The sequence below is a fragment of the Homo sapiens genome, chromosome 4 (assembly GCF_000001405.40).
Source record: "Homo sapiens chromosome 4, GRCh38.p14 Primary Assembly".
NCBI classification, from domain to species: domain Eukaryota; kingdom Metazoa; phylum Chordata; class Mammalia; order Primates; family Hominidae; genus Homo; species Homo sapiens.
In genome coordinates this window covers 88,648,644-88,674,052 of record NC_000004.12, presented here as the reverse complement: position 1 = coordinate 88,674,052, position 25,409 = coordinate 88,648,644, and the positions used below count along the sequence as shown (strand labels likewise).

At 38.2% G+C, this 25,409-nt stretch overlaps 1 protein-coding gene across 10 annotated transcripts in view, besides 1 other annotated feature; it reads right to left on the bottom strand.

Annotated features, from left to right (window-relative positions):
* The window catches only part of HERC3 (HECT and RLD domain containing E3 ubiquitin protein ligase 3), a 184,697-nt gene that overhangs the window by 34,487 nt on the left and 124,801 nt on the right, over positions 1 to 25,409 (bottom strand). For 8 of the 10 annotated variants that reach the window (NM_001375483.1, NM_001375482.1, NM_001375479.1 and 5 more), the window contains 13 exons: positions 24,054 to 24,213; positions 21,965 to 22,041; positions 20,963 to 21,184; positions 19,920 to 20,011; positions 18,749 to 18,879; positions 18,018 to 18,178; positions 15,562 to 15,638; positions 11,498 to 11,622; positions 9,841 to 9,900; positions 6,565 to 6,676; positions 5,972 to 6,161; positions 4,030 to 4,193; positions 3,801 to 3,914 (listed from right to left, as the gene is read on the bottom strand). In NM_001375483.1, coding sequence (NP_001362412.1) covers positions 3,801 to 3,914; positions 4,030 to 4,193; positions 5,972 to 6,161; positions 6,565 to 6,676; positions 9,841 to 9,900; positions 11,498 to 11,622; positions 15,562 to 15,638; positions 18,018 to 18,178; positions 18,749 to 18,879; positions 19,920 to 20,011; positions 20,963 to 21,184; positions 21,965 to 22,041; positions 24,054 to 24,213 — 1,685 coding nt within the window. Of the gene's footprint in view, positions 1 to 3,800; positions 3,915 to 4,029; positions 4,194 to 5,971; positions 6,162 to 6,564; positions 6,677 to 9,840; positions 9,901 to 11,497; positions 11,623 to 15,561; positions 15,639 to 16,618; positions 18,179 to 18,748; positions 18,880 to 19,919; positions 20,012 to 20,962; positions 21,185 to 21,964; positions 22,042 to 24,053; positions 24,214 to 25,409 lie in introns of those variants that run through there. The other 2 variants (NM_001375481.1, NM_001318505.2) reach the window with 2 other exon arrangements.
* Positions 8,879 to 10,078: an enhancer, noted in NCBI's record as "MED14-independent group 3 enhancer chr4:89585126-89586325 (GRCh37/hg19 assembly coordinates)". NCBI's record gives its function as "activates an origin of replication core promoter dependent on BRD2, BRD4, P300/CBP and CDK7 cofactors, and independent of MED14, by STARR-seq in HCT116 cells {active_cell/tissue: HCT116}" and the evidence as "EXISTENCE:reporter gene assay evidence [ECO:0000049][PMID:35650434]".

Here is a 25,409-nt window from a genome sequence, read left to right as displayed (position 1 = left end):
TCTCTCTGTTGAGTGGGATGGCTGGGAAGAAATCCAAAACTGCCTCAGTTAGGAGCCACAGCCAAAGCCAGAGAGACACTGCCCAGAGCTGGTGGTCTAGAGAAGTCTCAGGTGAGCCAGCAAGGCAGGCAGGAAGATATGGAAGCCTTACAAAACAGAAGTGCCAACTCTAAGGAAGGCAAAGGATGGAGCGATATTCAGTCAAAAGAAGCCGCGAATCTGTAGCAAAGGTCTGCTTATACATCCACAGACTTTTTGTAAGTCTGTAAGTTTTTGTATTTGATATATAATAATTTAATTTCATTAATTTTTATTCTGTGAATACTGAATATTTTAGAAATTGTACTCACACTGGTATTTCCATATTATACAAAATAAATCTGCATGATTTTGTGCCACTATTGCTATTCATAACCTAGAAGGATGCATACGAACTGATAAGATACATGATTATCTCCTGAGAGGCTACTTGTCTTGGACTATCCATTCCTCAAAAATGAGTATCACAGACTTAAAACTAGTAAAGTACTAGTGGACCATATTTCAAGTCTCCCTGCCTGAAACGGGGCTGCACTGTGACCTAAGCTCATTTTTAAAGTATATGAAATAGAAGCAATGAATAAGTAAATGGGATAGAACAGAAAAATTGGGAATATCATTTTTTTTTAAATACGAAGTCAACATCTCCTAAATGTGGCTGCAAGTGGGGCAGGAGGCACTACACGCACACCTGCAGTGCTGGAGAAGAAATACAGCCTCCTCTGCCTTAGTGCCTGTCTTGTCTCACACGTGCACAATACTCATAACTGGGGACAAAACACTGCCTGGCTGCGTCTCCTTTAACACATACAGCAAGATGTCGAGCTTTATCTAGCTTTTATTTTTTAAGTATTTACACTGTGGCACTGACTTTCCCCACTTGTGCTGCCCTCTAGAGGAGCCCACCACTCATTCACTCTGTGCTATTTGGTTTTTAAGTGCAGATAATGGCAAGTTACTGATTGAAGTAAAGGAACCACTACCACCTCTTCTTTAAAAGGAGTAAAAATCAGCCACTTTAGAATGTTCCTTCTGCACACATGTGTTAGATCCCTTTGCAATTTTTCACTGCTGCTTCTGGGCTAAACACTCTGCAAAGGTAGACACCATATCCATACATGTTTCCACTGTGACTAGCAGGCAGATGGCACACATTAGGTACTCAAGAACTGCTTCGTGAAAAATATTTATTGAGGGCTTATTATATGCTAAGTACTCTGCTAAGCAAGGTCTTTCCATGCTTTCTCCCATTTAATTTCCACAATCTGTTATAATTCTTACTCACAAAAGAGGATGCTGGGCCTATAGAAATTAGGTAACTTGTCTAAGGCCATGGCCATTAGACCAGAGTAAGGAACTGAACCCAGGTCTTTTTGACTGGAGCATGTGCTCAATAATATACTACACAGCCTCAGCTATTAACAAGCTAAAAATGCCAACACACATCAAAAAAATCCATCTATTATTTAAAAGTAGTTAAACAAAAATAACATATGAAATAGCTTTAGTATTTTAAATTAAACTTCAAAATATCAAGACATTTAAAATTCAATTTCTAATAGCATTGTACCTCATACAATAAAAAAAATTCCACAAAAATCACAAAAGGCCATATACTAATTTCATGTAATTTTCCATATTTCTTTAATAACTATTATAGTTATTGAAGAGATGAGCATCTGTTATTCAAGATCTGATAAGATATTTATCAAATGTTAAAAGAAAGGAAGTTTAAAATATTGTAAAAGTTACTTAAATATCTCTACTCAGAGACTACTGTCATAATAATCTAGATTTTAACATGAGCAACTTCTTTTTCAGAGTAAAAAAGAATTACAATTTGTTAGACTTATTTTATTCAGCATCAAGTCACAGAAAGGGTAGATTAGAAATCAGAAGAATTGACTTTTACTGCTACTAATGAAATTAGTGGAAAAATTGTTTAACTTCCATTTCCTCATCTAGAAACAAAGCAGTTGGACTAAATAATTCATCAGGCTTATTTTTCTGCTCATAATGTTATTATTCAGTGAATAATTATTCATAAATTGATAAAACAGAAGGGCTTATTTTTTAATAATTCCTAAATTTGAAAGTGAAAACAGAGTTCATTACTAGCCTCCATGTTAAATTTCCCAAGTCAGCCCATTTAGAACACTCTAACTCATTTATATTAAAAAGTATTTTCCTGGCCAGGCACAGTGGCTTACCCCTGTAATCCCAGCACTTTGGGAGGCCGAGGCTGGTGAATCACTTGAGCTCATGAGTTCAAGGCCAGCTTGGGAAACATCACAAAACCCCATCTCTACAAAAAATACAAAAATTAGCCAGGCATGATGGCACGCACCTGTAGTCCCAGCTACTCGGGAGGCTGAGGTGGGAGAATGGCTTGAGCCTGGGAAGCAGAGGTTGCAGTGAGCCAAGATGGTGCCACTGCACTCCAGCCTGGGTGATAGAGCCAGACCTTGTCTCAAAAAAAAAGTATTTTGTTTTCTCAGGGTAATCATAAAATCTTATTTAAAAATAAAACATTGTATGCATTTTTTAAGTCTCTAGAGAAAAAAATACAACATTGTGTCTAGCATTCATCATCTATTATTTGACAAAGAAAACAATCCTTCTTGTTCAGTTAGATCAGCCTATTTAAATGTCTTGCTTTTGGAGACAACTGCTGACTTCCAAAAACCCCACAGGAAAAATATTGCCCTAATACTGGTGATGAACCTGCTACACTGGCAAGGACTCACCTCAAATCTGCTGCACATGGCTTCACAAAATACAATAACCAAATTATCATTCTGTTTTCTGACCTAACTCAAATTTGCACATACTCCACAGATGGGAGATCCTAAAGAGCCTTGCATATATCCCAAGCTGGTGTGCTATCAAAAGGAGCAGTTCCTGCCACGCCAGAGGTGGTAGGCAGGAATCCACAGGCCCCTGAATGGCATATCTAAAATACGGTGAGACAGCACTTGGTCAGGGATGTGTGACACTTTCACACACATAATTCTCAATCAGAAGGGGCCTACGGGGTCCAGGTAGCTGACATATGATGACTGGAGTAGGCTGTCAGAAGATGATAATTAGCAAATGACCCTTCCTCAATGTCAGGGATAAATTACGCTGCAGTGGGAATTGTGGCATATACATAAGCCTCATCTAAAGAGTCACTCTTGAACTCCAGCCACTTGGTGTCATATGGGAAGACAGGTCGTGTTGCCAGATCTTCCAAGTTTTGAGGAAAGCTAAAAATTCATATTTGTATGTGTCTTGTTTTTTTAATTATGGTTTAAAAAAAAACCTAACATAACATGTACCATCTTAAGCATTTTTAAGTGTACACTTTCAGCAGTGTTAAGTATAGTCACACTGGTGTACAATTGGATCTCCAAACTTTCTTATCTTGCAAAACTGAAGCTATACTCATTAAATAGCAACTCTCCATTTTCCCCTGCCTCCAGCCCCTAGCAATCACCACTGTACTTTCTGTTTCTGTGGATTTGACTACTTTAGATACTCTGATTTTTTTAAAGGGGGCAACTGATAAAATGTGTAACATTCTGGGTGACTACTCATTTATGACTCCTTATAACATTGATGATTACTTAAAGCACTTCCAAGTTTCTAGAATGCAAAAGGCCAGCTGGATGAAGAATAGGTGACACACTGACATCAAAGTCAAAGACATATTATACAGCTCACATGTGCTTTTCTTATAAAAAGACTAAAGCTTTAAAATATGCTTTATGAATTCTTACCATCCCTGCTTGATGCAAGAACCACATGAGGTAGTCTTCCTGAATGTCCACGAGATTGGAAATCTCAGGAATGTAAAATGTATCATATTCCACATGCTTCACTTTAAGATTTACCTAATGAAGAACAAAATACAGACAACTGAAACATGGCTTCCCAGAGAACATCTCACTAGGACATTTTACCCTACCATCTAATCACCCCCTCCCCACTAGCACCTCCTATGCTCACCTTATATAACTTCTCCAAGAGTTTGAGAGCTGCTGTGATATAATTGTTAAACAGTACGGGAATTAAGAATGTCTTTCTTCCCCTCAGTAGATAAAGGACTGCACCTTTATAGAGGTTTACCAGCTTCATGAAATATTTCGGGCATACCTGAGACCACCAGTTATCTTTAGAAAGAAAGAAAAGACATATTTCAACATGTAATCTTGGGCAAGTATTTATGTCTTCTGCCTGCCAGTTAAAAATTGCTTTGTCTAGAAGATAAACATTAGTCTAAAATACATTTTCCCAAAACTGACTTTAAAAAGAATCCATTAAAACCTTTTTGGGGAGAACAACAGCTGTAAAAGAATCCCTGGAGCTTTTTTTGTAAAGCCTGGTCTGATTTTTTGCAAAGACTCAATCTGAAGGTTAACTTAAAAGTCCAATTCCAGACTACATGTGGACAAGATACACATATTTTGGGCAGGAGTGATGCCCAATGTATTAATCCAAAAAGCATTCTTATGTCCTAGCGCTTTCAGCCATCACTAAATCCTGAAGCAGAAATGCAAAGGATGACGCACCACATACCCTAGAAGCAGCACCAATATGGCAACCATTCCCTTCCCTTTAAGAGGTATCATTAGTTGAAAAACTACGATTTTTACTTCTCACCAAAAAATGCTTTCTCATAACCAGACAAGAAGATATACCACTGGCTTATACTTCGTTGGAAATAAACTCAGCCATACTGAAATACTTAAAGAATGAAATAGTATGTCTGAGATTTCCTTTAAAATACTCCAACAAAAAATAAAAAGGTGGTGAGGGCGAGGGACAGATGAAATAAAATGGGCAAAATACTGACAACTGCTGAATTTGTGTGGTGACTACCTGTAGCATACTCTCTACTTTGGGGTATTCTTTTAAATATCAATAATTAGAAGTTAAAAATAAAGTGTAAAATTGAACAATTATGTTCTCTTTGTATTTTCCAGCCTGGAAAAATAAAAATGAAAAAACTCTAAAACTTGAAAGTCAGGTAAGATTTCTTCTGATATTGCCACCTCTCTGTTTCACATCAACTAGAACACCTGAGAAAATGTGCCCCCAAAAGGCTTTTGATCTTAAAAAAAATTAAGTACTAACATTTACTAGTGCTTTCATTATTATTTCTGTTTTTATCTCTTCTACAAAGGTGGAGGCAATATAGAAAAGCCAGTATTCCACCTTCAGGAACACAATCTCTTTATTCACGGCGAGACCACACTCAAGTAACATCCCAGTCCATCTGGAACACAGAAGTTACTGAGCTGCAATGACACCTAACAAAATTTACCAGGGGGGAAAAAAGTAAAAAGCCAGGTGATAGACTTCCTGCACTTGAGTAATAAAAACATTTCAGGTGCTACTCCCATGAAAGACACTCTCCAAATCACTGAGGAATGGAAGGTTTTTATCTCAGCAAAGTGTCCGGAGCCTGCAAAAATCAGTGTGGACTCAACGGTCCTAAAAAAGAAAAACAAAACAAACATTTGGTAAGTCCACACTAGGTCATTTTCTTCCTCTCCTGTTTTGGAGACCTCTGTATCACCGAAACTGTTCACTTCACTCCCACCCCCTAAATTAGACATAGGAGAAAGACCAACGTACAGTAATACTGAGGTACTGAGCAAATGTGGTAGAAAAAAATAGTTTCAAGTTAAATAAATTAGGTTTGTGAATACTATAAAATCAAGATTATTCTGGCATGAGTCATTTCAAATAATCTAAATAATGGTTTTATTTTCAACTTGAAAATAGGGTTAGCTAAAAATTAACAGCAAAGAAAAAAAGGTTTTAAGTGTTAAGGATATTAAATGGCAACAAATAGATTCTTGGATCTCAATCCACTGAGAGCCAGGAGTCACACCAACAAAACAAATGACCATAAAACCACTGATATCGAGGTTAGCAAATTCACCTAGTACTTTGCTGGGGTTTGTATCCAGCCGAAGAATGGCCATAGCCAAGGGAATAGTCAATGTTATATAATACTTGGAATCCTGGAGTAGGGGAAACTCAGGTAGTATTAAATAGATTCTCATGGCTTCAACATCTGGTGGTGAGCTTGACAACTGGGGAATCAGACAACTTTCAAAACTGTTCAAAATCTGTATGAGGGAAAAGAGTAATGAGAAATTCAAACATACTTGAGATCTAGTTAACTTTCTCTAAGTTCATAAGCTATTTGATAGACTCTCAACTCTCATTCATTCACTATGCACTGAGAACCTACTATGAGCCTGACACTGGTCTAGGCCCTCAGTACACATCCATGAAAAGAAAAGCCAAAGATCCCTGCCAGTGCAAACTGTATATTCTAGAGGGGCATTGCCTTGGAAAGGTTTAAGCCAAAAGAAAGCAAAAGGTAGGTCTAATTCCCAGAGTAAATACTTTACAAAATTAAGATTTGGAGACTTTCACTTTTTCATCTTACTCTTTTTCTCTTGAAGTTGAATTCATCGATACAAAAATGCATTTTTAAGAATGCACTTTACAAATATAGAAACATACCTGTTCTAGAATCATGGAGTGCTGAGAGTTCATTAACTTCTCAAATAACACCCTAGTTGAGTTCAGGTCAATCCCAGGGATTTTGGGACTCGTTTTAAAATGTTCATCAATTCTAAACAAACAAAATCAAAAAGGTATATAATAAAAGAAAAAGCAAACACTCTGATAGGAATTATAAACAAGTAAAATACTGTGTTCTTAGTAATCAGATTTAAATTTGATCTGGCAGATAAGATCCACAAAAATACTACACTTTGCATAAATCTCAAAATAATAAACCCAAAATACAGAATATTATTCTTTCACAAAGAATAAACCACACTGGAATTCCTTTTACAAGAATTTTCAAATTTTTAAATCTGTTTTCCTTCAAGTCAAAGTACAAGGACTGTCATATCAAGTTAAGGCTATCTTGAAGTTTATAAACAAATAATTATTTCCCTGATTTCATCTTGTGTTTTTTGGTTTTTTTCTGTTTTTGTGGCTCATTGAACTAGATGTAGATGCTGTGGCTTGGTACAAATAACGTCCCCTGTGCAAACTGGTCCACTCATCAACAAATGACAGTAGAACTTCCTTGTTGAAAGCCTTTCTTACCAAAGTATTTAAAATAAAAATGATCTATAGTAAATGCAAAGTTAATGTCTCTCATCGTTAACACAAAGGATACAATTACATTCACCCAAGGACTAATTTCATTGCCACTATTTTTAACTTTCTAGCAACTAAATCATTTTTTTAACCTTAAATAAAATCTTAGCATTTTTGAGACTTAGAGAATATCTCATATATCCTGCTCTTGAACATACCACATTTGTTAATTTACAAAAGAGCTATCTATTTGCAAAGCAGGCTTCTGTTTTTGAGTAATGGACACATTCAGATGATTTTAATACACTCTGACAGCAATGTTATAATTTTTGAAAACATAAGAGTTTCTAACATTTTTTAAAAATCATAATTATATGTATCGGAACCCTATGCTCAAATGAAGATAAATTGCTTGTACTTTGTTTTTTGGGTCTTTCGTTGTTGTTGTTATTGTTTTTAAAATAAATCTGCCCAAAATATAGAAATGAATTCTGGTTTCCCATATGTAATTTTCCATATGCTTTTTGCTATGCTGTTGAGAAAACAAAAACAAAATGTTTTATCTATACGTATTTATTGCTTTGTAAATCTGGTCTTCATTTTGATTGGTTTCCTGAGATGCATCCTATGTACGCTACAGGAGTAGACTTTCTGAAATACACAGATGTCAGTTTGAAAAAAAATAAAAGGCTTTCCCCACAACTCTATACGAAATCTGTGATACTAAGGATGAACAACCTAACAAGTCTGGCCAAGAGCCCTTCCCAAATGTCATGAAAGCTATCCATCTAGAACGGGGTTTCTCAACCTTGGTACTATTGACTTTTGGGACCAGAGGATTCTTTGCTGGGCAGGTGGGAATGAAGGATGTTTAGCAGCATCGCTGGGTTCTACCCACTGGATGCCAATAGCAAGTCCCTCCCCATTGTACCAACCAAAAATGTTACCAGAAATTGCCAAATGTCCTTTGGGGAGCAAAATCACCCTGGTTGAGAACCCCTGTTCTGGAAGGCCAACATCAGCATAATCCAGAATATCTTTCCCTAGAGGAAAAAACTAATTACTAAATATGAAATGAATTGTGTGAGCTCATCCCAGCTGCCTTAATTATAAAAGTAAATGACTTTATAATCTCTAAATGTAACCAAAGAGAGTTTCTGAAGTGACCTCCTGCAACCCAGTTAGGGACTCATTTGTGGGGAGGGGGTGGTGATGGTTGAATTTAGGAGTCAACATGACTAGATTAAGGAATACCCAGATAGCTGGTAAAGTATTATTTCTGGGTATGTCTGGGTCAGTTTTCTGTAAGAGATTGGCATTTGAATTAGTGACTAAGTAAAGAAAATCCATCCTCATTCAGTGTGGGTAGGCACCGCCCAGTCAGCTGAAAGCCCAGAACAAAAAGGCAGAGCAAAGACAAATTATTTCTCTCTTCTGGAACTAGGACATCCTTCTTCTCCTGCCCTTGTACATCAGAACTCCAGGTTCTGTGGTCTTTGCACTCCAATACTTACACCAGCAGCCCCCACCCATTTCTCAGGCCTTCAGCCTCAGACTGAGAGTTACACCATCAGCTTCCCTGGTTCTCAGGCCTTTGGACTTATACTAAGCTATGATGCTGGCTCGCCTGGTTCTCCAGATTACAGATGCCTATGGCAGGATCTCTCAACCTCCATAATCAGGTGAACCAATTCCCGTAGTAAATCCCCTCTCTTCCTCTCCCTCTCTCTAGATACATCCATCTATCTATTTATCTCTCTCCTATTTGTTCCATTTCTCTGAAGAACCTTGAGTAACACAGGGCTCGAGGGGTAGGGGTGGGATTCACACACAGAAATGAAGTCTAATTCATCTTGAGATCTCATATAGCCTGGTCACTGGCAGAAAGGACTGAGAAATAATTAGGACTTGGGATTACCAAAGATCCAAACCCATGACAAGACTCTTTTGCTGCATCAGGTTCCTGAGGGAGATATTTGCAGAAGGGATAAGGCTAAGCAAATAAACATTCTATTTACTACTGGGGAGTTCAACCTCAAATATAATTCTCTGGTGAGCTGGGCTGGACCTAAATCCAAGGAGCCCCTGAAGCCTCCTTAGAATTACTCCCTGAAATTCACTCCTTTTGAGAGAAAAAAATAAAAAATAATAAAAATTTTAAAACTGTGGGAAAGCAAACCAAAGAAATCAAGAAAATTATCTGAGGAATTAAGAATTTAGAATTATGACACATCTTAGAATACTCTGAAAATCTTACTGATGATTCTACCAATTATTTCTGAGATACAGTCTCTCTCGGTAATCTGCTTTTCTGCCATCCAGGTATGAATCAGCATTGCTCTTCCTGAAATCCTCTCATTACCATTATTAGGCTTTCCAATTTTTGCGCAAAGCATCAGCTTACTCATTAAATTAAGGCCAACCACCATCAAAGAGAAGAAAAGTCTTTCACAGCCTTTGCTGAGTAAGTATTTGCATCACATGTGGGGTTTTAAGAAACTTTTTTTAAAAAGATGGGGCCTCACTATGTTGTCCAGGCTGGAATTCAGTGGCTATTCACAGGCATGATCACAGCATCCTAAAGCCCCAAACTCCTAAACTCAAGCAATCCTCCTGTGTCAGCCTTCCAAATAGCTTGAGACTACAGGTACACGTGAGGGTTTTTTAAGGCTCTAAGTCACTTACTTTTTTTCAAGAAAACTTCCATTCCAACAGGCTGCAGAAGATAATATCTGAACAACACCACTGCTCAAAGAAAAGAAGGGAGGGGGAAGCCTTTAATAATTACAAATAAATGGTTATTTAAGCATCAATAATAAAGTAACCATCTACTCAAGGATTTCATTAATAGCAGCTCTTTGTCAGCTGAAGCTTTGGAAAATGTACATTTGCTTTAGAAAAACAGGATGTCACATCTCAAAATGAAGAAGAACTTAAGTTTCCCATGTTAGGGGAAAAAAAAGAATATCAAAGCTCCTGAAAGAAAACCTCTTGTCCCAATAATGTTCTTGAATATTTTTCTACCACCAACCATCTAAGAAGTGCCCTATCTAAACTCCAAAGAGAAACACAGAATAAAACCAAAAAAGAGAAGCCAAGCTGTTACTTCCCGAACACAGAAATTATCTTGGCAAATTAATAACTGAAAAATTACTTCTATTTTGCTGCATATCTGAGACATAAATTAAAAAATAGTGAAACAAGTGCTTATTCCCATTACCTTCTATTATACAGGCTCTGAGGAAACAGCTAATTCTGAGGGCCCAAAATGAAACTGGACATCAGGAACCCTGGGCCTTTCCATTCAGTGTAAGGAAAAGGGAAAGAATAACACAAATATACAGCTGGGGAGGGGATTACAGTAGTTTCTGTTAATCACAGAATTTAGATCAGGAAAGATCTTTAAAGATCATGTCTTCCATCCATTCATTTTATAAATAAGAAAACAGAGAACTAATGGTAAAGTGTCACCATTTCCCTTGCTGGACCCCAGCAAGCCCTCATCTCCTCTCCCCTGCGACCCTTCAGCCTGAGCTCCTTGGCAGAGCCATCCTAAGGTTAGAGGGATTCTGAAGACTGCCACAGAGCTGCTCTAGGGCGTTTCTAATGCTCTCTCACTCACAACGTTACTAGCTCAAGTGCCTCAAAGTGTAGCGTCCTGGTCATTTGGCCCACTACAATCTATGTCATAATGCAGGAACCATTATGTACGTTTCTGGGAATAACCACAACTTAGTGCACAGAGCTTGATTTATTCTTCCCAAGAATCAGACTTTGCAGAAAAAAGTGGAGAGGCTGAGGAAAGCCAATGAAAATGTGTAAAAATGTGCAAAGGAAAATTGTCCTTTAAATTTGATAAAAGCTCTCAATCCTACTTACTGTTGTTTTTTTTTTTTTCTACATGACTCTGAATTACCATCTCAATCATTATGAATAGGAAAATGCTAGAAATTATTAAGATTAGGTAAGATAACAGCTGTCTCAGATTTGGGATGTTTTGGAACATGCATACACTAAAACCCATGGGAGTTAACCATAACGCTAAGCTCTCTTAGCAGAATCACCAACTCAGGCCTTCATCAGTCAGGATTTTTAAGATCATACAATAAACAAGGCAGGTTGAGGCATATACTGTGTGTGAGAATTGGGGATCCATCCATTATGCTATTTGGGGCTAAGGAGATCAACCCTGAAATAGTAACCAAAAATAACCCACGATTCCCTATAATGTAAAACCCCATTTACATTCACAGTATCAATATGCAAGTACGGAAAATCACACTAAGCTAAAAAGTTGTAACATACTTTGTGGAAAAAAAAATGAAGACAAGCAGCCACATACTTGATTGTATTTGCATTGTTGTGTTCTGAGAGTTTTTGTCTCCAAACTGCTATGGTTTCATCATTTATTAAACTGGTATAATGTGCTTGGTTCATAGTCCTGAAGTCAACAGCAGGAGAATAATTCTGGAGAATTAAATGTAACAGTAAAAAGAAGAAATTATGTAGCATGGATCTTGTCTCCTCTCCTTTCTCCCACATATTCTCCATTTTACGTTTCACTTATGATCTAAATGCTGCAGTGTGCCGCCCAGATCCCCTCCACCCTTCAGAATGGAGGCTCCTGACAGATCCCAGCTGGGTTGCTGTCCAGGACTTGGCATTGACTGTTGCTTCACTATCACATCCAATGGCAGGTAGAGGCATGGTGTAAAGGTCCAGCCCGCTTGCCTCAACTCAGGACTGGCTGAAGGACCATCACAACTTCAGTGCTCCTCATGGGACTGGCTGAGGCCTCTGTTATAACTGAATTGCATTTCAACCCCTCCCTCTGCGCAATCCTGCCTCCTTCATCCCTCAGTAGATGTTCTTCTAGAAAGCACTCTCCCAAAAACCTTTGAGTCTCGGGTCTGTTTCCCAGAGAAACCAACTCAGTACAACTTTCCCAGACTTCTTTCCCCTTTGCTTTGAATCACTGTAACAGCAGGTTTTTAAGGTATTAGTCATCTGCCATAAATGTCCACCAAACTTCAACAAAATGTATTACAAAAGAGCCAGAGTTCAGTTATAATCTATATGACAAATAACCTATAAAAACAATGACTCTTAATTTCTTGCTTCAAGTATATAGCTATTATAAGAAAAATGGCAGAAAAAGATGTTAATAATGTATGTCCTTGAAAATTCCAAATGTTGCCCAACACTGTACATCTTTTATTCAGTGAGATTAAAGAAAAAAAACATAATAAGCACTTTCCTTTTCTAAAATTGCTTGTTTTCAACTTATTTTCCCCAAGCCTTGTTCTTGATCGAGAACTAAGGAAAGGTTGATGGTGCTTTATACTCCTATTCTCGTCTCCAGTGAAGAGGAAAAAGGTAATATTAAAGCACTCATTCATCAGCTCATGAGATTTTTTTTCTCCTTTGTACCTACACATAAAAACATAACTTTCAAAGTAAATTTTCTTGGTTACTTTCCCATAGCTTCAAGTTAACGTATCATTATGGTAGGAAGGAGTAGAGCATGTAATAAAACAGAGATGCCTGACAAAGTTTGTGATCATCTGGTTATTGATAACTATTCTACTAAAATGGCCACAGATATCTATTGAGAGAACAAAAATCATCTTGAAGTACAACATACAGGAAACTCATAATCCAAAGCAGATGCTGGAGTACACACAGAGATTGTCTTTCCACCTCCTTGTAAAACCACTGTTGTTACGTAAATTTTATTTATTTCCCCCATTCAAAGGGGCAGCTGAACATCAACTCTAACACAAACCTACAATAAAATAAAGACTTGGAACTATTTTATCATTCCTCATCATATGTCCAATAAACCAGAGATGCCTTGGGTGAAGTACAAGTTCAGAATCACTTAAAGAACCAAGAAAAAACATCATTCTTCCTGTCTTTAATACATACAGGCAAAAAAGGAAAAATTGCTCTTAGGTCAGTGTTTCTCAACTTTGGCTGGACTTTGAATCACCATGGGAGCGTTCAATAATCCTGATGACCAAGTCATACTCCAGACCAATTAAATCAGAATCTCTAGAGTCATCAGTATTTTGTAGAGCTCCCAGGTGATTCCAGTAGGCAGCCAAGGTTAAGAATCACTGTTCCAGGAAAAAGAAGATTATGAGATAGACACACACACAAACACACACACATGCACACACAATTCTAACAATCCCAACCACATTCCCTCTTCAATTCTATCCAGGGAACAAAACGACAGGAAAAGGAGATGCTATGGTTTACATTCACTAAATTCCCAAGACCTAGAATCAGTGTAGCAAAGGGGTATCTGAATATAACTCCTTCCCTCCCTTCTTTCACCTAAGGCCTGGCAGTAATGAATGAGTCAGCCTTTTATAAAAATAGAGGCTATGGCCGGGCGTGGTGGATCACGCCTGTAATCCTAGCACTTTGGGAGGCCGAGGAGGGTAGATCACTTGAGGTCAGGAGTTCAAAACCAGCCTGGCCAACATGGTGAAACTGGTCTCTACTAAAAATACAAAAAAAATTACCCAGGCATGGTAGCGGACGCCTGTAATCCCAGCTACTCAGAAGGCTGAGGCAGGAGAATCGCTTGAAACCAGGAGGTGGAGGTTGCAGTGAGCCGGGATCACGCCATTGTACCCCAGCCTGGGCGACAAAGCAAGACTCCATCTCAAAAAAAAAAAAATAGAGGCTGTAACTATACAGGTGCTTTTTCTTGGTTCTTTAAGTGATATGGTAACAGGGTAAGCATATGATTTGATCAGCCTCTGTATCTAAATAATCATCTCTGGTTAATAGTTTAAGTAAATGTGCATAGGTTTCAGTTTCAAAAGAAAGAGCAACATCTTCTTAAGTAATGTTTACTTTCCTTTTTCTTTGTGATCTTACACTTTTCATGCATACCTATCCCTCTTTCCAGTTGTTTAAACTTTAACCTGCCCTGCCTCTCTAATAGTATGCTACTTCACTTCCTTCTCATCAGTGTGTTGTTTTCCAGGCCCAAGGTGTTGATTACAATAATAAAAATCAGTTACATATATCAGATACTATATTTACAAGAGAAAACTAAATTTCATGTTAAATTTCACAGGAAAATTAAAGTTGGATACTATTGAATAACACTATTCAATACTAGTTTCTAGGGGAAATAAATACTTAAAACTCTATTACTTATGGACAAAAACTGATTATCCTCCACAGAGTCAGTGCCTTTTGTATTTTGTTTTATTGACATCTTGAAGAAACAAAGAAAAACCTCAGCTTCCTCAGGATTTCTCTGTAATACACACTCTGAGGCTGGGTCTAAAATAAGTCTAGGGCAGCAGTTCCAAATCACGCCAGATGGTAGCACTAAGCCACCTTCTTCAGGCACCTGACCTGGAAAATAGCTAATCATCAGCTTTAGCTGTCCAGCCTACAGCCTCGGGCTCCACCAGGATTTTCCAACCTAATCACAGAATCAGAATGACTAGAAGGCAAATACTTTGTGTACTTAAAGATAGCTAAGTATCAAACTAATAGAGAAAGTTTCCAAGACAGAAAGAGCCCCTGGTTTCCACAGTTGCTCATTATCTTCCCAGTCAATTCTGACTCCTTTTTCTTCACTAACAGCCCATTCCCTTGCTCCTCCAAGAGAGTATAAGGATCCATGCACCACTCGGAGCTGGTCCTGTTGAAATGTTTGCTGAATAAAAGCAGGAAGGGTGGGGAAGAAGAGAAGAGAGGAGAGAAAGCACAGGGGAAGGAGTCCAGCACTGACAACAAATCTGTGGAGTTTTTCCAGACTGAATTCCCCCAGCAAGGAAGAGTGGAAGGAATTCGAGCCCTGTCACAGAAACCTGGATCCACACTCTACCTTCAGGCAGAAAGACAATGTCACAGTGTCTTTATCCACTATAGTGATGCAGGAGACAATGGAAGGGAAATTTTGGTGTCATGTCATAAGCAGATTACAAATAATAAAATACATCTGAAAATTGTGGTACCTCTTACATACATATATATACTCAATCACATCAAACAAAGAAACCCACCAAGTTCTCAAACACCTAGCATTTGTTGCCACTTAACAGGGAAGAAAAGAAATGGAAAATCAAATAATGCCAAAGTAAGCACCAACTCCCTAGGCATCCTTTACAGAGTTTCTGGAACAAGTACAAATATAAATAAATAATTTCAAATTATAAATTAGAACTCCATAATTCCAGGAGAATTGTTGGCACTTCAAGGGAGCCAAATGGAGACAACTTCTTCCAGATTTAGTTTGCTTATTTTAAAAATAACATAGGATTGGTAGAAACAAAGAGTAACATTGCTCTTTATGTTGTAATTACTTGTTAAAAGAAATGTTGGTTCACTATTATTCCTTCCTGGAAATAAGAGTCACAAGAAAAATTTTACCTCGTATTTGGAGCAAAGTACAAAAGTCTGGTCTCCTCCAGAGAAGATCTGCTTAACGATATGATATTTAAAGCGATCTGTCAAAAAAAAAATTCCGAAAGCATATTTTTCATTAATTGAAGTTTCTCCTTGATCCCCTTTTCTACTGTCGCAGAATACACTTCAGAGTGGGTACCTATCCATTTTAATTGTGTCACAGAAGTAAGAAATCTTCTCCCCTGGCTCACTGCCTAGGACTGTTTCTACTTCAATTAAAAATAAATATATAAAATGGTATCCTCCACTCTAACTCTTCTTCTGCCCCTCCCCAACTGCCAGTGAATCCTGACCTAGTTTCTCTTTTTCATTCTAACTCTGTCATGCCACTGACCTGAAATCTGAAATGGGCACTATTCTTTATGGTAACAATTCAGCATGTGAGTGTGGTGGGCCCAGGCCCCGTCAGGACGAATCTTGCCACGGAAGGACCTCCGTTTCCTGCTCCCTGCTTTACCTCCCATCACACTGTGTCCACGGTGACATTCTCCTACTACCACGTTGCCTTTATTTCTAATACACCACACTATTTCACATCTCGGTGCCTCCCCCCTCTGCTGCCCCTGGCACATGGGATTCTCCATGAATGTGCCCACCGAGAGCACAACCTGAATGTGCTTCTGGAACTGCACCTTGGTGGTGCTCACACCAACTCCCTCACAGTCCTCTACACCTGGCTAACTCCAAATCATCCTTCGAGGCACAGCTCAAACTTCCTCTAACCACAATACTCCTCCATGCCTTCCTCTGTGCTCCCACATTACCAAGAGGGTTCCTAAAACCATGTCATTTACATAACTGACATTTACCTGCTTATGTTATAAAATCATTTTGGCAAACATCCAAGCACAAATTTAGGACCATGGAAGTCAGGTTATAATTCAACTTCAAAAATTTGTGGTTTTGAAATAACCAAAAAACACCTGAGTTGGTAAACTTTCTAAATAAATGTATTCCACGTATGAGTACAATGTCTTGGAGAAAAGAATTTACAAATTACAGAGAAGAGGACACAAAGCCATTCTTTTGCTTCTGGGAACATCACCCAGACAAAATCTTGTTTATTTATATTTTAAGTTGCACTACATTTCAGATGCTCATATATCCATTCCAAAAATGTCTACTGAGTGACAAGTTCATGCCAGGTCCTGTGCTATATGCTAGGTTTACAAAAAGGAAAAGAGTTTGTCTGTGTCCTTGAGTTTCTTATAATCCAGTACTAAAACTTATGATGGTTACTGTTTCAAACAAATTCCTGATCAAGCCATAAGTGTGTCACTTTATCGACTTCAAAATCAAAATTAATAAGTTACACTTCCTTTTAATGATTCTCTAGCTCCATTTCAGCCTCAGATTTATTATTTCAAGGTGAAGCAGTCATTCAATATTAATGACTGCCTGACTTTGATTTCCAATGAAACCAAGACTGCTATTTAACTATTTTTTAAGGGAAGAAAAAAAATGGCTTAAAAAGAAATCACATCATGTTATATACCAAAATGCCAACAGCAAAGTAGAGGTAACATAGTACACATGATTTAGAATGACCTGGGTTTAAATCCTGCCTCCAGAATCTATGTGATCTTGGGCAAATTACTTGACCTCCTTAAGACTTTGTTCCCTTATCTCTAACATGGGGATAATAACCACTAACTAGTTCTTAGATTATTTTGAGTGCTTTGCATAGTAATGAAACGTCATTAAGCATTCAATACATGCGAACTGTCATTATTAGCAACAACAATAAAATGTATACACCACCACCAAGGTCTGTGGAAACAAAATAACTGGTATAGTTTGAATGTATGTTCTGGTCAAAACTCATGTTGAATTGCAGTAATCCCAATGTTGGAGGTGAGGCATGGTGGTATGTGTTTAGATCATGAGGGCGGATCCCTCATGAATGGCTTGGGCCATCCCCTTGGTGATAAGTGAGCTCTTGCTCTGAGTTCACATGAGATCTGGTGGTGTAAAAAGTATGGCACCTCCTCTCCACTCTTCCTCTTGCTCCTGCTTCTGCCATGTGAAGTGTCTGCTCCTTCTTTGCCTTCTGCCATGACTGTAAGATTCCTGAGGCCTCCCCAGAAGCCAAGCAGATGGCTGCATCATGCTCCCTGTAGAGCCTGCAGAACTGTGAGCCAATTAAAACTCTTTTCTTCATAAATCACCCTGTTTCAGGTGCTCTTTACAGCAATGCAAGAACGGCCTAACACAACAGTATTTCCTGCTTTATTTATTCTCTAGGATCTCAACTCTACAGCTTCATGCATAGTAAGTACAGAAATTATTAATTGATGTTAAAAAATACCTTATCTTCATTCCCTCCAAAAGACCTCAAAGTAAGTAATAGATACATATTCTGTAAACAACTGTTTTCATCACTTAAAATACCTTTAAATTCCAGAGACAATCATTCTTACCAGCTCGGGCTGAAAGCTGGCCACTGTGGGCAGCCCAGTAACCCTTGACAGGAGATGGGCACTTAACATTACAAGTGTGCCCAGTTCCTAATTGACCTCTTGCTCCACAACCAAATGCATAGATGAGTCCAGAAGAAGGCACGAAGGCTAGGGTATGTTGTCTGTGAAAAAATAATTTAACTCATCAGCATAGTTTCTACTAATGTGGATGTACACTCTGACTCTGACTTTTAACTTCCACATGTGCACAGCACAGGGTGCTCCTATAGAGCCTTTCCCATGTTAACACGTGACTCTTCTTGCAGCGGCTGCTCTCCATAATACTATCCTCTAACACTCTAGATCATGAGGAGGGTGGCAAGTCAGGAAAGAGCTGAATGATCTACTGCATGTGGCCTCTAAGATGAACAGAGAGAAGCAGGGTAGACTCAGGCAAAAATTTCCAAGAAGTTCTTTGGGACTCTCTCACTTTTCCTTTCTTTATCCCTTCCCCACATCCTGCTACTCTTTATCCCAAAAGAAGCCTAATGTCTCCGTGTTGCTCTGCTTATCTAAAACCCTTCCTTGCCACACTCTATCAAGGTCTTTCTCCACATTTCACCATAGGCGTGCATGCAGTTAAGATCTCTTAAAATGACGGTGACTAGGTATAATCACATTCTTCATCACTACAAAGATAAGACCAATTTCTGGGTCCTAGTGAATACAAGCAAGCTTTGAGGAACACTCACCTGCCACAAGCAATTTGAGTTACTTCACTACCCATCAGCTCTAGAACTCTTCTAGGGTTAACCTCATCATTCATGGAGTCGTGTCCAAGTTGCCCACAGGAACCAGCGCCAAAGGTAAACACACCTCCACTCTAACAAGGAACAAACACCATAGGACTTCACTGTATCTTTAAGGGTATACCTCTAAACCCTGTATACAAAATGCCTATCACAACAATGTGCACAAGAGCACTACATTCACTTGACACTTGGCCAAAATCACTTTGTAAGGATGTTCATTAAATAGAAAAATAATAAAAAGGGAATTTCAGACTGCATCTTTATGGAACAAAGATAGCAATGCTCAAAGGAATGTGTGCCTTCTGTAAATTTTTAAAATCGTTTGAAAGTACAATGATGTGTTAGGAAGCAAAATTTTAAAAAAGGAGAAACTAGGAGCTAGGCTAAATGAGATGATTTTACATGATCATTCACATGTAAGAAATTAGGTGCTCTACAAATTCCTTGGTAAGTAAGCTGTTTTTTTAACAGCTGTATTTAAATAAATGTTAAGGCATTTTATCAAAGTGAACGTAGAATAATATTTGTTCAATATAAAAATACATTTTCATTCTCTCTAGAATGTATTTAGAAGCAAAAGAAACATGATTATTTTAAAACATTAATTAAATTGCTGTTTCTTTTTTACATATTTAAATGACTTGTTTTAAAGGAACATAGGACATCATTTTATATATATTATATATACATAAAATAACAAATAAAAATAACAAAGTGCTGTCTTTGTTCCATAAAGAACCAAGGAATTTATATATATATAAATATATACATTATATTTATATATATAATCTACATTTTTATATAATCTACATTATATGTGTGTATATATATATAATCTACATTATGTGTGTGTGTGTATATATATATATATATATATATATATATATATATATATGAAAAATCTACAAGATTACCAAAGAGGATAACAGAGACATACAAAAAAGTAGTCTTTTTCTATTCCTTTGGAAAACAACAAACCCACATAAAAGAGAGCATTCAAGTTCAAGCCACAATACTGTAATCACACACCATCACTACACTAACATAATCAAGCAATTCTAATCACCCATCATATCCCCAGCACCAAAGTAAAATACTCTGAGCTCCTTACCTTTGTGAGAACTGCTGTGTGTTCTTCTCCACAACTAATATAGACAACTTTTTGCGTGCGTAAGAGTTTTACATGGCATGGAGATTCTCGATCTAGAATAAATTAAATATCAGAATATCACTACCATTTGCCTTTGAGATGAAATATACACAACTATCTTGGCATGAATTTTGGATTCCTGGATTCCTGACGCATGTTCAGTTTCCTGCCTGCATCTGTACTTGGATATCCAACAGACTTCTCAGTTTTAATTTACCTAAAACCTACCTCATGGTTTCCCTACACTCTCCAACCCTGCCCACTCTCCAGCTCACTTTACTACACACGGTTTTCCCCATTTCAGAAACAGTCATTTTGCCCTTCCAGCTGTTCCTTTATTTCAAACCACACATCCAACAGTGAACAAAACCAACTGGCCTCATCTTCAAAATATGTTTAAAATCTGACTTTACTCCCACAACCTCCAAGCTGGTCTTCCAGCTTCCCCCTTGACCCACTACAGCCAAAGCCAAAGTGGATCACGCTTCTCCTCCAAACCCTCAGGGTCTTCCCCTCTCACTGAGAAAACCAGTTATATCCTCACCCTGCCCCTCAGGGCCCTGCATAACTGGGTCTACACGACTTCTCTGACCTGCAGCTGTGCTACTCTTCCCCTTCTCTCCAACTACATCTCTTCCCACATGAGCACCTTTGCACACCCAGTTCTCTCTGACAGGAACATTTTTCACCCAGACATTTACATGTCCCATCTCCCACCTGATTTCCTACAGGTTCTGCTCAAACATTTTCTTATCAGAGGGGCCCTTCCCCACCACCTTATGTAAAGCAGGAAGCTGCACTCTCAAATCCTGTGTATTTACTGGTTTTGTTGCACCTCTACTCACTAGAATACAGTCTCCACTAAGACGAGGATGTTCTCTATTGTGTTCACTGCTTCTCCCTTAGTATCTCACATGGGGCTAGCACATAGTAGATCCTCAAGAAGCATGTGTTAAATGAATGTGCTTTTAAACTAAATACATACATATGAAGGGTTTACCTACCTTTTTCATCACTGAGCCCTAGCTGCCCGGCATTATTCATCCCCCAGCCAAAAACAGCTCCTGAGAGAGACAGGGCAAAGCTGTGAGCCCCTCCGGCAGCCACCTGAGCCAGTGGGATCCCCTCCAGGGACCTCACCCTCTGTGGGCTGGCTTGGGAGGGGAACTCCTTCCCTAAGCCAAGCTGCCCATGGCTGTTCTTTCCCCAGGTGAAGAACTGGCCATCTGAAATAACAGGATAACTGGTATTACCATAAAATGATACAAGCTCCACACACAAAAATAATCTAGTTATTAGGGTCATTTGCCAGTTGCCCCCCAACACCAAACCCACCCAAGAGCAAAGGAACAGAGATACTTCATGCTATCAGACTGCCAAAACCAAAACTCCCAAGTGATATAACAGAGAGGTAAGCTGAGTCTTACTGCCCTTCAAAGGCTATTAAAATTTATACACAGAAAATATTAAATGTATAAGTAAATTCAATTTCGGACAGGCCAATTACCAGGCTTAAGCAAGATCACACTAGTTCTGACCACACTAAGACTATGAGACCCAAGACTTCGGGAGGTCCAGCAATGACCACTTGGTCTGCTCTGCAGATAATCAAGCAGGACACAGAAGTGCAGATTTATTTAGGTTTCTCCAACTCCTTCTTTTTCATTCATTTGGGAGCTTGATAGTGGAATGTAGCTTGAGAGTTGGCTGTCGCTAAGAAAAATCAATCTCCTCCATGCTCAGAACACCTAGGTATGGTCCTGCCCCCTGCTTATCTTCCCCTGTGAAAGTTGGAGCAGCAATGATGACCACCTACTTCATCACCCACACCCTGAGAAAAGGATGAGCTATGCAAAGCCCATATGAGAATTGTCACTGTCCAACAGCAATGCATAGACCCTAACCAGTTAATTCAAAGTTTTCAGTTAGATAATATCACACAAAAAGACAAAGAGAAATGTTTTCAAAATTAACATAGCATTAGCATATGTTTAATGTTACTTTACCAGCCGCAAGAGCCAAGCAATGCCAGTTGCCACAGGAAACTTGTAATATTGTTTGCTGGTTCAGCTTTTGTATTAACCTAAAACAGAAAAGGCTTTCTTTTTCAGATAGATATTCACACACAAACACAATTATCAGAAATATTCCCAATTAAATAAAATGTCAGTAATAAATAACACCATCTTGCCTAAAAGTCTTTTTAAGGCCAGGCACAGTGGTTCACGCCTGTAATCTCAGCACTTTGGGAGGCCAAGGTGGGCTTATCACCTGAGGTCAGGAGTTCGAGACCAGCCTGGCCAATATGATGAAACCCCATCTCTACTAAAAATACAAAAAAAATCAGCCGGGCGTTGTGGCACATGCCTGTAATCCCAGCTACTCGGGAGGCTGAGGCAGAGAATTGCTTCAACAATTCCCCATCACCATTACTCTTGTCACAATCAGTTGTAGAAAAGAAGCAGGTCAGAAGAACAAAGACAGATAATAGAGAAATTGTACCCTTGAGGTGGGGAAGAGGGAGTCCATACAGTGCAAGCACATACTGTATTTTACCTACTTGTCTCCTTCTATCCTCCCCATAACCCTGTAAGGTACATAGTAAGTAATTTTTAAGTTAGGAAACTGAGGCTTAGAAAAGTTAACCTGCCCAAGGTCATTCACCTTACAAGTAAAAGAGCCAGTATTGGAATCCAAGGCTTGTTTGACATCAAAGCTATGTTACTTTCCACAATACAAAGGTATAAATTAGTGAATTTATTTCAATTAACTTATAATAGAAAACTATATACAAATCAAAGTCTTGGAAGTCATCCATAATTTGAACATGAATAATGAATATTAAGCTATTACTGTAGAACAGATTACTTCATTTTTAAAAATGAAATGCCGTTAAAAACCTTAATTGTGTTTTGGTCATCAACAAATGAAATATTTTTGCCATTAATGTTATAAACATTTTCCCTAGTATTACACACAACATAACATCTAGCACTTCTTTTTTCTTACTGCCACTCTTCCTCTCCCCACAAAATTAAATTAATTTTTGGAAGAAATGAATCTAAGACATTACCTGTCCTAAATCAAGAACTGAATCAAATCACTCTTACCTCCATGGTCCTCTTATTTAACACAACTTTTGATTAAAGAGACAAAAATCTAACAAGGGCAAAAAAGAAGAGGAAGAAGAATATGCTGTTCTTTAAAGGGGACGATAATTAGGCAGAGGAGGAGAGGCCATTTATTAAATTTGTACTCAGCAATGTATGTGATAGGCACTCCTAGCAATGGTGATGCTAAAATAAATCATCCAATTATCCTGCCATTAATAGCTCACATCTTTGTAGTAAAAACAGATATTAAATAAACAATTACAAAGAATGTGTACTATAGTAGTGGTATGTGGAACACCTGTAGCACAAAGGAGTAAGAATTGAATAAAGGAAATAAAATGGCAGCTCTTTGATCATTAAGAACCTTCAACAAACTGAGACACCACCACTAAAAAGTCCATTTGAAAGTAACTTCAATATTTGGGATGTTCTCTTAGTGGCAACTATTAGATACTTAGCTAAATCATCTAAGGTTTAGATTTAAGTGAATCTTTAAGAGACTCAAAACCTACTGTATTAACATTTTTGCATTAAAGAATCTATGTATATCTGGTATTTTAGCTGTTTGTAATGCTTAAAGTGATTTGGCCTATCAGAGTAACAGGTCAGCTTTGTGATTCTATTTTAAAGTACTTAATTGAGTAATTCAGACTTGCAATTTTCAGTTGAAGGTTAATAAGCCTACGATGTGAAAGATGTCTTTTTTATTCAAACATTTATCGACTGCCAGGCACTCAGCAAGCAAACAGGCTACTAGAATAAATAAAGTACAGTTCCCAACCGACTCACATTTTTGAAACAGAGACAGACACTTCTATAAATAATTGCAACTTTTGTGACAAGTGTTTTAATAGTATAAGGCACAGGAGTGGTGCAAAGGAAATAGCAATTAAATGAAGAAAACAGAAGAAAAACAAGGAGTCTAACAAATCAACAGCAGGAAATAGCATTTAAAACGACTGACATTTGAAAACCTTCTTACCTGGGCACTGCCACAGAATCCTCAGTAGTCATGAGTCCTAGCTGACCATCACTCCCTGCACCCCAAGAAAACAGCTGGCCTCGGTCACTGAGGGCCAGACTGTGGGACTCGCCACATGCCACATGAATGATATGCTGATCTGCCAGAGCTCCAATTTGTTCTGAAAGAGACAAATTGGAGGAGGAAAATGTACAACCCAGAAACAGGAATACTGCTACCATTACACAGGATTATCTTCCTGGGCAGTTTTATTTTTTAACAAGAACCACTTAATCTGAATATTTATAGAGATTATAAATTTCACATATTTCTAAACTCTATCAATTTACATTCGGAGACCCGGGGTAACACACATCCCAGATATACTATAGTATATACTATAACTATAGTAGCACACACATCCCAGATGTTCCCTGAACCTATACAGCCATGTGCCTGGTGCTTCTCTCTCCAGGGAGAAGCCTGTACTATTTGGAGATGTTCCATCCAAGAGGCCTAAATGTTGAGTGGAAATGAAACATATTTCTAAAAGTAGCGGGAGTGAGTGAAACTCTGCCTGGAACAATGAGACCCTCTCCCCCCACATACAAACACACCCAGAATGCTAAACAACTTTCTCCCCTCAGTTCTGGATCACAGTCTTGTCTGTATCCAGCCAGGAAACAGAAGGATCTCTCTCTGGGAAAACTGGCCCAAAAGACAAGACCCACAGATAGTGACATTTGTGCATCCCTCAATGAAATGTCTAGCTTCCCATCAGTCAACAAGAATCACACACGCCATGTGAGCGGACACACACAGCTCCACTCACGTTAGCACCTCACCCTTCAATGTAAAAGGCCAGACAAGGATCACCCTATGTGTGAGGAAAACTTAAACATGAAAGGCAAAGAGCAACATAAACAGAAGGAAATGAACTCTGAAAAAACAGATCATGCAGGGAGCAAAGTTTCTTAAAAGTCTTTTGAGAAATCAAAGAAGATATTTCCACTCATGAACTAGAAAGAGAGTGCTATAGGAAAGTATTATTCAAAAAACAAACCAACAGAAATATCTTGGAAACCAAAAATGTGGTAGCATAAATTTAAAAAAAAAAAACCTTCAAAAGCAGGATTGAAAGTTAGAAATGAAGAGATTTTCTAGGAAATAGAAGAAAAAAGCAAAGAGAAAATCAGAAGGGGAAAAAAGATAAGAAATTATAGGATTGTTCCAAGAGGTCCAACATCCAGAAAGAGAATGGAGAAGACACAAGATATAAATATTTCAAAAAAAAATCACAAGAAAATTTCACACTGAAAGGATCTATTAAGTGCCCAGAATAATGACCAACAAAATACCTACTGTAGAACCCTTCAT